Genomic DNA, 12311 nt, shown 5'->3' with positions numbered 1-12311 from the left:
GAGACCATCCTGGCCAACATGGTGAAACCACGTCTCTACTAAAAATACAAATATTAACCAGGCGTGGTGGTGTGCACCTGTAGTCCCAGCTCATTGGGAGGCTGAGGCAGGAGAATCGCTTGAACCCAGGAGGTGGAGGTTGCAGTGAGCCAAGATTGTGTCACTGCACTCCAGCCTGGGCGACAGAGCGAGACTCCATCTCAGAAAAAAAACCTCATTTTCCCTGCTCTGTGAATGACCGGGAGAGACTGGACACCAGAACTCCCACTTCCAATCACTAGACTTTGTTACCGATTAACTGCCTCTTTATTGTCCCATACCTAATTCAGAGCAGATGGCACCCAGGACCCCATGACAGTTGCATCTTCAGTGTGGAATGATAAATATACTTGTCCAGAGAGAAAAGGACCCCTTAGCGAGTCAGATCCTTGTAATGTGCAGGCAGCCTTCCATAGAAGGATGCTGAAATTCTGCTAAACTTCCCAAAGCTTTGTCTAGATAAACAATCTCAAACTTCTACACTTTGGAACATGGACTTTCATTCTCTGGATCTCTGATTACTGGGTGGCCTGTACTTCTCCTCAACTTCGTGCTTGGAGAAACTCTAAACCTGATTCTGACTCTTTTGGTTATTTTAGCTTGATACTCTTCCATCACCAACTTTAGTGGGACTGCTTTCCCTACACCAGAAACGGTCACTCTAACAGGTCACAAAGGGCATCTCAGTTTTCATCTGCATTTCTTAATTAGGAAGAAACTGTGTGTCTTTTTGGATGTTAATTATCCATCTTCTTGCCTCATTCTATTAGTATCCTTTGCCCATTTCTCTACTGAAATGTTCTAGTTTCTAGACGATTCTTGAGAACCTTCATCTATTATATTGATGGACACTGGCTTATTTGTCAGAGCTGCTGAAAATAATTCTCCTTCAGGCAATTTGACTTTATCATTCATTTTCCTTGTATGAAAATTTAACTTTTGCTTAATGAAATGCTTTGGGGTTTAGTGTCTTGTTTAGAAAGGCATTCTGCCGCTGAAGTTTAAATATTTTTTAGAAAAAAAAATGGTGTTTTCTTCTAGTATTTTAACATGATTTAATTTTTTAACTTAAAAAGTCTTTATTAAAGTGTAAGTCTACTTTTATAATAATTCAGGAGAGATAGGAAAAGAATGAACTGGGTGTGAAACATTCTCATAAAAAAGGATACAATAGGCCAGGTGCGGTGGTTTACGCCTGTAATCCCAGCACTTTGGGAGGCCGAGGAAGGTGGATCACTTGAGGCCAGGAGTCCAACTACAGCCTGGCCAATATGGTGAAACCCTGTCTGTACTAAAAATACAATAATTAGCCAGGCATGATGGTGCACCTGTAATCCCAGCTACTCTGGAGGCTGAGGCAGGAAGATAATTTGAACCTGGGAGGTGGAGATTGCAGTGAGCCGAGATTGCACCACTGCATTCCAGCCTGTGTGATAGAGTGAGACCCTGTCTCAAAAAAAAAAAAAAAAAAAGATAAAATACACTCGACTGGGCACTCCACTCATGTGACATGAGTTCCAAACATCCTCTATCCATCGGAGTCTTTTGGGCTGTGTCCCGGGCCATTCTCTCTCCTTTCCTCCTAGACGCCTCACCAGTGCCCATGGCTTCAGTTCCAGCCCCAGCGGATTTGCTGATGCCCTCACGTTTCCGCCTACTCTCCTGACCTCTGGGCCTCCATCCACAGCAGCCTCTTCAGAGTCTCGGCTGGGAGTTTCCCACAGGACACTGACACCTACACATCGCCAACTGAGCTCCTGGCCTTCCCCCTCCTGCGAAACCTGCTCCACCCCTGGCCTTGGCCATCTCAGCAAACAGCACTGTGATGCACAGGTGTCACTGAGGAGACAAGGCATCCCCGACACCCTCTTCTCCCTCATTCCACACCTAGTCACCAGATCCCACAGACTCTGTCTCCTGAGGAGCACTGGACCCATCCGCCCCTGCCACCTGCACCCTCACCATCATCCTATTTGCTGGTTCTCTGTGATTGCCCCCACCTGGACTCCCCACAGCAAGTCTGGACTGCACCCCCCACCACCGACCCCCAGGCAGTAAACTCCTGGAAGGCAGGCATATTAACCAAGTCTTCTCATTTAGATGCTTTGACCTCTGGGGCCTTCCTGAGCCTAGAGGACCTTCCCTTCCCTCCCCTCCCCCTCGGATTAGCTAATCCCTGGAGATAGAAAATGACTTGCCCAGAGCACACCTTTCAAATGCAAACCACCCAATCCAGAGCCCACACCCCAGCCACAGCCTCTGTCAGTCTGTCACTCTCAGGACCACTGATCCCTGCCCTATCCCCCCAGAGCCAGGACCAGACAACCAGGGGCAGCCCTGTGCCCCAGAACCCCGAAACTATTCTAACAAATCAGTCCTACACCTGCTCACTCACCTCACCGTTCCTTCCTGTGATTCCACAGTGGAGGCTCCTGCCCACGTCCCCCTTTCCCTCGGGCTTTCTGGCTGACCCTGCAGCTTCCCCCGCACAGCCCTGCGTGGTGCACCCCCTTCTGTCCTAGGGATCTGTGAGTAAGCAGCCATCTCTCCAGTGACAGTCATCTCCTGCTCTGTTGGCCTCACCACACAGCAATAATAAAACCTGTGTTTTAAACCAGCAGGAGCCATGTTTGTCCCATCCCTCACCACCCCCAGGACTGGGTTAGTGATGGTGCCAGACAGTGGCCAGGCCTCCTCAGAGTGGCATCTGCCTGGCCACAGCTGTGGGCGCTTTCTCAGGGTCAGGTGTGGCTGGGGATGCCGCCCTGAAGGAGGTGCCATGCCTACCTTCCTGGAGTCCACATTCTGGACCGGCAACAAGCACATAAAATAAAGAGAAGTGAGAGATATTCCAGTAGCTGGGGCAATCAGGGAGCCCACGGAGGAGGCACCATGGGAGCAGAGCCCCAAGGGGAGTGTGGTGACAGCGTGGGGTCATGGAGGCAAAACCTGCAGGCAGAGCTGAAGAGGAGCCACTGGGGCCAGCATGGCTGGCAGGGTGTGAGCCTGGGGAGCACAGGGATGAGGCCCTTGGGAGCCACAGAAGGACCAGGGTTTGGCAGGGATGTTCCCCACGGAATTGGGCCACGTCTCCTTCCCACTCACAGGTCAGTGTCCTCCCCTGCAGCTGGGCACACCCACACCTCCCTCCATCTCCTCCCCCTCCCACCTGCTGCTCCCTCTCCCGAGACACTCTCTCTGGGCTGCCCATCCCCATTATTCACCATCTCTACTCAAATGTCACCTTCTCCAGGAAGCCTTCCTGATCCCCCTGTCTAAATGCTTCCCACCACAATCACTGAATCAGCCTCCTATTTCAGCACTGCTGGGAACCATCCTGTCTATTTAGTTGTTTACTTCACTTATTTAACACATTTTAAGAACACATTTTTTGATTGCAGTAACATAATACTATATATATATATATATATATATATATATATATATATATATATATAAAATACGATTTGCCATTTTATGCCATTGAAACTTTTTTAGTATGGTAAAATATAAATATAACATAAAACTTGCTATTTTAATTATTTTTAAGTGTACAACTCAATAGCATTAATTACATTCACAATGTTGTACAACCACCACCAATATCTATTTCAAAAACTTTTCATCATCCCAAACTGAAACTCTGCGTGCATTAAACAACTCCCCATCCTCCCCTCCCCAGCCCCGGTGGCCTCCATTCCCCCTTCTGTCTCTATGACTCTGACTGCTCCACTCACTTATATGAGCGGAATCATACAATATTTGTCTTTTTGTGTTTGGCTAATTTCACCAGCATAAGGTTTCCCAGCTCATTTGTACTGTAGCATGTATCAGAATTCCCTTCCTTTTTGAGGCTGAATAGCACTCCACTGCATGGATGCACCACATGTTCTGTATCTGTTCCTCCATTGATGGATACTCAGGCGGCTTCCACCGCTTGGCTATTGTGAATAACACTGCTGTGAACATGCGTGTGCTAATATCTGAGTTCCTGCTTTCCGTTCTTTTAGGTACATATCTAGAAGTAGAATTGCTGGATCATATGTTAATACTGTTTAACTTTTTGAGGAACTGCCTATTTTTCTTTTCTTTTCTTTTTTTTTTGAGACGGAGTCTCGCTCTGTCGCCCAGGCTGGAGTGCAGTGGCGCAATCTTGGCTCACTGCAAGCTCCGCCTCCCGGGTTCACGCCATTCTCCTGCCTCAGCCTCCGGAGTAGTTGGGACTACAGGTGCCCGCCACCATGCCCGGTTATTTTTTGTATTTTTAGTAGAGACAGGGTTTCACCATGTTAGCCAGGATGGTCTCAATCTCCTGACCTCGTGATCCGCCCGCCTTGGCCTCCCGAAATGCTGGGATTTTAGGCGAGAGTCACCGTGCCAGGCTGGAACTGCCTATTTTTCTCAGTGGTTGAACCATTTTACACTTTCACCAACAATGTAAAAGGGTTTCATTTTCCCCACATCCTCGCCAACACCTGTTATTTTTGTTTGTATTTTTTGATAGTAGCCATCCTAATGGGTGTGAGGTGGTATCTCATTTTGGTTTTGATTTGCATTCCCTTAATGACTGATGATGTTGAGTATCTTTTCTCCTGCTTGTAGATCATTTGCATATCGTCTTTTGAGAATTATCTATTCAAGTCCTTTGCCCAGTTTTGAATTGGGTTGTTTGCTTTTTGTTGTTCTTGTTGAGTGTTAGGATTTCTTTCTATATTCTTGATATCAATCATTTGTCAAAGATTTCTAAATGTGAGCTAATGTCAGATAAAAGTCTAGCTCTCACAAGAGTGGAGGGGTTGGGGAAGGACAGCCCTTGACCAACAGAGCCGGGAGGTTGCTTTAGACCCTGGAGTTGGAACAATGGCCAGCCGCTGAGCCGGCCCCTCAGAAGCAGGCCATGATCAGCAATCAAACACACAGCCCAATTTTTGGAGGACAAGATCCTTATTTCCCACCCTGGCACCAGCAAGCTGTACCGGGAACACAGGCCACCTTCTCCTTGCTGCCTGCTGCAGGCTGGAGGCTGGTACAGCTGCTCCAGGAAATGCTAAAAATTCACTAAAATGTCCCAGCCTCCTCATCAAGATCTTCCCTGCAAGCTGCAAGCATTTCACTAAACTCCAGAGTTTCAGAAGAGTTGCTTCTGATAATTCACGCCAGCACAATTGTTTCAGGGGAGGGATTCCCAGAGCTTCCTACTTTGCCATGATGTCACCCCTGTTGTCAATGAGTGGCTTCATTTATGGGCTATTCATTGCTGGTGAACAGAGACAAACTGGTTTTTCTGTGTTGGTCTTGTAACCCACAACTTTGCTGAGTTCATTCATTTGCTCTAGTAACTTCCTTGTGGATTCTTTGAGATTTTCTATATATAGGGTTGTGTCATCTGTGAATAGTTTTACTTCCTCCTTTTCAGTCTGGGTCTTTTACTTCTTTTTTTCTTTTTCTTGCCTAATGACTCTGGCTAGAACTTCTAGTGCAATATTGAACAGCAGTGGTGAAGGTGGGCATCACTGTTTTGCTCTTGATCTTAGAGGGAGAGCTTGCAGGCTAACAGGTTTTGACTGAGGCCTGTGATGTTCCAGGCTCTGGGGGAACAAATGTCACTGCTGGATGGGAGTGAGACAGTAAGCAACACAGGTGAAGAAGGGTCAAAAGGCCAGAGGGTAGAACGTGCCACTGAGAAAATGAAACAGGGAACAGCAATGAGGGATGTAGGGCAGGTGGGGCACCGCGTTTTACCTTGTTTAGGGGAGGCCTCCCTGTGGAGCTGACATCTAAATGAGCTCCTGTGGGGTGTGAGGGAGGGAGTCCCAGGGAAACTGGGGAGAAGAGCATTCCCTGTGGAGGACACAGCAGTGCCAAGACACTGAGTGGGAGTGAACCAGGCCTGGCCTGGCCAGGGCTGCAGGAATGGATGGAGCCGGTGAAGTTGAGAGCTGTTTGCTGCACTCTACTAAATGCTCAGAGAGCAGGCGCCTCCGTCTCATGGCCCTCTGTGCCCCAGCCCAGCACAGTGCCTGACACACGGTAGGTGCTCCATGAACATTAGTGAAGTGACTGTGGGTCCCTGAGTGGCCTGATGTGGGCTGCATGTGTGGATGGCCCACTCTGCCCACGAGGCCACCAGGCCAGGCTTCGGATGTCCCAAGATGAAGGTTAGATTACTGAAGATCATGTTTCTCCACACTGCCAAATTAAACTCCTGCCTCCAGCCCTTCGCATCCCTCATAGCCAGAACTGGCAGGGGGAAGGCCTGGCCATCTGTGGTTTAACAACCTCTCTAGACCCCATGCCCTTCCTGAATGCTCCCATTGTGGGGGACGTGCACTTGAGAAGCAGCAGTGAGAGCCTGCAGGGCATCCTGGCCTGACGCGCATGCACACGGCTCCTTCAGCAGGGGCAAGCCTCTCCCAACCTGCTCCTTCTGGAGTCTTGTACCTGGAGCCTGGTGTCTTGGGAAATATATTTGGCCGCTCAAGGAACAAACTCTCCACACCCACAGTGAGGCTCAGGCAGGGTTCTGGCCCAGAGGGACCAGCCGCAGGCCCTCTCCTGACAAGTCCACGCGCGACCCCAGTGCCTCTCCTGGAACTGGCCCCGCACTGGGCTGGGTGCTGAGGGTGCAGGGCCAGAGCTCCGGGCATTCCTGCAGCCCCCACCCCTGCCCGCCCTGATGCCTCAAAGGAGGCTGTGGCCAAACCAGCCCCTCTGCCAAGGCTTAGGGAACAGCGTTCTCATCACAAAAGTCATAAAGCTAGACACTGAGCAGTCTCCCTCTTAAATCCTTCCCGTCATCTGGGCAGAGGCCAATAGTCCTCCCGGGCCACAGGCCCTACCCAGTTGGCCCATGCTGGCCTCCTGTCTCTCCCTTGAACACACCACGCCCACTCCCACCTCAGGGCCTTTGGGCCTGGCCAGCCGCCTAGAATGCCCTTTCCCTACTTGGCCTCCAGGCCCCTGCCCTGGGCCCTCTGGTTGAGGGGGGGTCCTATCTGTACTTGGCTCAGCATCCCCAAACCTCTCACTCCAGGTGGCTCAGTGTCATTTTGGCCCCTACCTTTGTCCCAGCTCCTGCAGCTGACCCCAGGACACAGAGCTCAGCAGTCCTCTTGACTGAAGCCCCTGGCCAGGTCCCCTGCCCACCTTGCCCATGCCAACCTCCCTGACCCACCTGACTCTGAGACCCCTGGCCCTGGGTGCCAATCCTGGCTCTGCCTGTCTGGCCTGGTTTTCTCACAAATGCACAGGCCCTCAATCAATCTCGAGGAATTACCAATGCCACAGGGTCATAGGGTACCCCAACTAGGCACTCCCCCTCATACCAATAAACAAATCAATATAGTTTACATGTCCTTCAACTGTCTTGTGGTAGCATAATTATCTGCATTGTTTTATGGGCACATTGAGAGTTAATTTGTTATCTATAAACATTTCAAAGCCATCTTTGTTTTTAAACCTTATTCCAGCCCTTCTTCATTTTAAAATTTACTCTGGAGCAAAAAAAGAACGAGAGAGCGTGTGCACACCTAAGTGTAATGGTGGGGGTCACTGTTTATAGCAGCACACTTTCTGAAACAAGCTAATCACCCATATGAACAGAGAATTGGTTAATAAATTATGATACAGCCATACTGAAAGATTACTATTCTACTCAAAAGCACAAAAAGTATAAGGGAATTCTTGATGTATTGATAAGGAACAGTCTCTACAATGTATGGGTTAATTAAAAAAATCAAGGTGCAGACAGGGTTTTCATTGTGTGATCTCCGTGTAAGAAAAGAACAAACCTCATCTACACACATTTGCCTGTATGTGCACTGAGCTGGTAGCCTAGAAGAGACAGGGGACAGTGGCCATCTCTAAGGAAGGGGCACTGTATGCCTTTGACAGGGTGGGAGAGGCTTTTCACAATGAGGGGCTTTTAACACACTTTTGAATTTTGAACCATGGAATACTATGCCTGGTCAAAACCAAATTAAATTCCAATAAAAAAGCTGAAGGGCCCCAGGTAGGCCTGGGCAGCCTCCCTCAGCGTCGCCCTGTGTGAGATCTTGGCAAATGCATGCAATTCCACTAGGGCAGGCATGTTTCATCCAGGGCCTAGCGCCAGCTGACCACCTCCTTGGAGCCCAGCCTGGCATTTGTGGTCAGAGGGGTGCTGAGAGAAGCTCACCTTCACGGTGACACCTTCCTCATGGTCTGTTGTGGGTTGAACTGTGTCATCCCAATTCGTATGTTGAAGTCCCAACCCCTACTGTCTCAGAATGTGATCTTGTTTGGAAATAAGGTCTTTGCAGCTGTAATTCACTAAGCTGAGGCCATTCTGGAGCGGGGTAGGCCTCCAATCCAATGTGATGGGGTCCCTGTAAAATGGGGAAATTTGGACACAGACACACACAGGCAGAATTCCACATGGGCAGGAAGGCTGAGATGGGAGTGATGCTTCTACAAGCCAAAGAGCACCAAGGATTGCCTGCAAAGCTCTGGAAACCAGGAGAGAGGCCCGGAATGGGTTCTCGCTCAGAGCCCTTGGAGGGACCTAGCCTTTTGGACAACTTGATCTCAGACATCCAGCCCCCAGAGCTTGAGAAAACAAATGTCTGTGACTCCAGCCCCCCAGTTTGTGGTGGTGCTTTGTTACAGCAGCTGCAGGCAATCCATATGCCTTGTTTCAAGGGAAGTAGGCAGATCTATGACTCCTGCCTAGTGTTTGGTTTAGAGCTACCTTAACCTGTGAGGGAGCTGGACAGGCTCCGAAGCTGCCCCTGACCTCTGAGAGTGCCCACCCTGGCCCGGTACTTACTGTCATTGGTCATGTTCTTGGAGACTATAGTGGACGGTATCTCAGACATCTTGGCTGAGGCCCAAGAGGTTGATGCAAGGCTTCTCCTCTTCTAAAGGAGATCCTCACCTGAGGAGTGACACAGTGCTTGAGCCTGGTGGTCCCCAAGCCCAGAGCTTCCTTCCCCCTGGGTGGCTGACAGCCACCGACATTTGCTGAGGGCTCACCTTGTGGGGACACCTGCCGGCTCCCTGCCTCTCCCACCCGAGGGTCCACTCTCACCTCCTGGACTTGGCTCTAGCTGCCTACTTTTTCTGTGCTTAGAACACATCAATCTTGGCCTCAAGCCTTTGCATTTTCGGCCTCCTCGGCCAAAAAATATTCTCCCATACCCAGCTGGGGGTGCTGGGCTTCCTTCTCTTCAATTCCGAGCTCAAATGTCACCTCTTTAGAGAGACCTCTCACCATCCCATCCAAAGTGGTTTCTTCCTCCCCACCCCCATGTGGCCTTTATTTTCTTCTCTGCAATTCCCACTATCTGATTATCACTTTAAAAATCCATTCGTTGTCTATTTCCCCCTAAAATGTGAGCTCCATGAGAACAGGGGGGTCTTTTCTGCTCATCCAAGCTCCTGACATACCCTTGGCACTTCTTAACTTCATCCATTGAATGAATTTTCATTTTTGCAGGGGAGGAAGCAGAGATTCAGCGAGGTGTCCAAAGTCACAGTCAGGAGGGGCTGCCTCTGGAAAGGGCCCCCACTCTAAGCTTGTGCCATTCCTGCCGCATTCCTGCTGCAGCCCCCTATTGGGTGAGCCTGGGGTTCGCAGGGTCGCCTCCTAACACCCGCGCTCTGCAAGGCCCCGAGCCACACAGCGAGGTGCACAGGGATGGTAGGACAGATGGGGTGGATGGTAGATGGGTGTGTTTCAAGCAAGTGGCATGCGAGCGGGCAGCCTTGGAAGGCGCCTTGCAAGTCCGCTCCCGGCCACGCGCGCCCCTCGGGCCCTGGTTTCGCACCCCTGCCGCCGCCCCCACGCGCCCTCACGGACCCCGCGCGCCCCCTCTCCCCGGACCGCGAGCGCACCCACCGACCCCGACTGCCCCGGCTCGCTCCGAAGCCTCCGCGCTGCAGTTCTCAGCTCCAGGAGCAGGGCTCTTGGGTTTACGTCTCCAAGGCAACCATTCTTCAGGCTGGCTGTGACGCCACAAAGGCCGCGGAGGCTGGGCGCTTGAGGGCTGGGCCTGCGGGCCGCGGGACAGGGAGGGCGCGGGGCCGGGCTGCTGGGTCCGAGCTCTGGGCACGATGTCCTCCCTGACGCCGCCAGGACAGCGCCTGGCCCAGGCCTGGGCCTGGTGAACGCGGGTTTCTTCCTCTGAGGTTCAACACTCCGCACTTGGGTTGGCTCCTTTCATCCTGATTGGTTTATTCGCCACGTGCCAAGCACTGAAGAGGGCGTGCAGGATGGATACTTTTGGAGCAAAAATAGCCCTGCTTCTTTCCTGGGGAGGGATCGCACTTTCTAGAGGGGCGGTTTTCAAAGTATGGTCTCAGGACTAGCAGCATCGAAAATGCTGGGAACTCGTTAGAAAAGCAAGTTTTCAATCCTCGCCCCAGAATCAGAAACTCGGGGTGGAGCCCAGCAATGTGTGTCCTGACAAGTCCACGCGCGACCCCAGTGCTGGCTAGGGTTGCAAAGCCACTGCTCTACGGAGCGAGCGAGATCCATCATAGTGGGACAAGCGAGAGGATGAGGCCATACAGACCAGGGCAAGTTTTGAGCGCGCAGATCCACCAGCTGCTTGAAGCCAGGGGCACCAGGATGTCTGGTCCCCCAGCTCAGGGATCCTGTCTCCCCACAAAAAGCAGCAGCAGAAGACCCCTCTTTGAGTTCTGAACATGTTCCTAGATTTTCCCAGTATCTATGGGGATTGAGAGATTGATAAAGGCTGCTTGGAGCTGAAAGCACAGTCAGTGACTCATCTTTTCAGGGACATTTAGGGGCTTCTGGGGGGACTCTGGAGCAGTCTGCAGCCCAGCAATGTAGTCCCAGTGAGGATCCCAGCTGTGCCAGGCTCTGCCTAAGGCCGGTGTAGTGGGTGGGAAGACCACATCCACAACAGGAACTCCATTGGAGCTGGGGGTGGGAGTGAGGAGGAGCTCCCAAGATGGAAGGAGCAGGGATCCCTGAATCTTCGCTGGTAGAATAGTGTCCCAACTTGCAATATCCACAGTGGGCTTTGCACAAGGGAGGAAGAATGTTGTATTGTGTTAAGCCACATATGTGATTTGTGCATGTGTGCATGTGCACATGTGTGCACATGTAGTGTGTGTGTGTGCATGTGTGCACGTGTGTGTTCGTTACAGCTGCTATTGTCAAATGTGCTGAAAGACAAGTTGTCCCTTTACCCTTAGGAGAGAGGCTCCTTACACTGACATTCAAAGTCCTCAATGACCCGGCCCCAGCCTACCTCTGCAGCCTTATCTCCCTACAAACCATCAAAGCAGAACAAAAACCTGTCCCTCCGATTTAGGTTTTAGCAAACCACAAGAAGCACTTCATAAACTGGTGACTCAAGTAGAAAAGTAAGTGTTTTTGTAATGGTTTATCTAAATACAAGGTGCTCTAATGAGACTTTTAGGAAGCTAGAACATAAGTGACCCAAAGAGAACAAAGGTACCCAGGCTCCTGCCCATTCATTGTCATCAACAGATCAGTTTATGAACAGTCGTGAATCTCCCCATGAACCTTACAGAGTGTTTTCTATGTGCCAGGTACTGTTCCACGCACTTGACACCAATCCACCCATTTCACCTGCATGATCACCCTGCCTTTGCATGAGTTGCCGGTGTGGACAGAGCAGGGACACAGTGAGACAGCGGATTCCAGCTTTGCTCTTACCTAGAACACACTGCCTCTCACCAGGAATCGTCCTTCCATTTTATGCAGTTATCCCAGACAATGATGCACAAGCTTTGGGAAAAAAACCCCACAAGTCCAAAGGTGTACTTCATAATAAAGGCAAGTTATCTGTCAGTTTGTGTGTTCTGGCCTTTGTTTTTGCTCTTGGTAGCTTACAAGGTTAGAAAGAAAACCACCTAGAAAACGTGACCTGATTTGGAACTTTTAGTCTTAGCCTAACAGGTCTAACTAGAAATACCATTTGCTGATTAAAAGCTAATTTTTAAAATCAGATGCATGATTGGTGGAGCAATGGTGGCTGGCTGGCTGTGTGGTGAATCGTAGTGGCCTGTGAGCTGTCCAGCCCAGGCAGTGGGCATGTGGATGTCTGCTTCAAAATCCTTCCAACATTTCTGTATGTTTGAAGCTTGAAAATGTTCATAATCAAACATTTTGGGAAAAGCTAACAATCTTCTTAAAGGAGAAATTCGTATTTCAGATTTCGTATTTTCCTCCTCAAAGAAGGTATATCAGTCTGGGCTCTCGGGAATAAACAACAGAAAGCAACTATAGCCACTTGGGG

The 12311-nt window shown here is 50.3% G+C and overlaps 1 protein-coding gene and 1 long non-coding RNA gene across 12 annotated transcripts in view, besides 1 other annotated feature; one reads left to right on the top strand and one right to left on the bottom strand.

Annotated features, from left to right (window-relative positions):
• The window catches only part of CFAP100 (cilia and flagella associated protein 100), a 41648-nt gene extending 31662 nt beyond the window's left edge, over positions 1-9986 (bottom strand). For 8 of the 9 annotated variants that reach the window (XR_007095676.1, XR_001740141.3, XM_017006322.2 and 5 more), the window contains exons 1-3: positions 9917-9986; positions 9466-9570; positions 8846-8953 (exon numbers count right to left, since the gene is read on the bottom strand). Coding sequence is in view for 7 of the 9 variants with exons in the window: in XM_017006322.2 (XP_016861811.1) it covers positions 8846-8894 (49 nt within the window). In the remaining 2 variants the exon portion in view is untranslated. The remainder of the gene's footprint in view (positions 1-8845; positions 8954-9465; positions 9571-9916) is intronic. The other variant, NM_182628.3, reaches the window with a different exon arrangement.
• Positions 6581-7090: an enhancer, noted in NCBI's record as "H3K4me1 hESC enhancer chr3:126116648-126117157 (GRCh37/hg19 assembly coordinates)". NCBI's record gives its function as "activates a minimal SCP1, AML or CMV promoter by ChIP-STARR-seq in naive H9 embryonic stem cells {active_cell/tissue: H9 hESC(naive)}" and the evidence as "EXISTENCE:reporter gene assay evidence [ECO:0000049][PMID:30033119]".
• Positions 9987-10096: 110 nt separating the features above from the next.
• Positions 10097-11863, top strand: CFAP100-DT (CFAP100 divergent transcript). 3 transcript variants are annotated; one of them, NR_103788.1, is made up of 3 exons: positions 10097-10596; positions 11361-11412; positions 11602-11863. It is a non-coding gene; the product is annotated as a CFAP100 divergent transcript (long non-coding RNA). The 3 variants fall into 3 exon arrangements; NR_103787.1 differs by having other exon boundaries at positions 11242-11412; NR_103789.1 differs by lacking the exon at positions 11361-11412.
• Positions 11864-12311: the final 448 nt, after the last annotated feature.

The sequence above is a fragment of the Homo sapiens genome, chromosome 3 (genome assembly GCF_000001405.40).
Source record: "Homo sapiens chromosome 3, GRCh38.p14 Primary Assembly".
Classification (NCBI taxonomy): Eukaryota; Metazoa; Chordata; class Mammalia; order Primates; family Hominidae; genus Homo; species Homo sapiens.
Note: the sequence above shows the minus strand (reverse complement) of the source record. Positions and strands in the feature narration are given on the sequence as shown.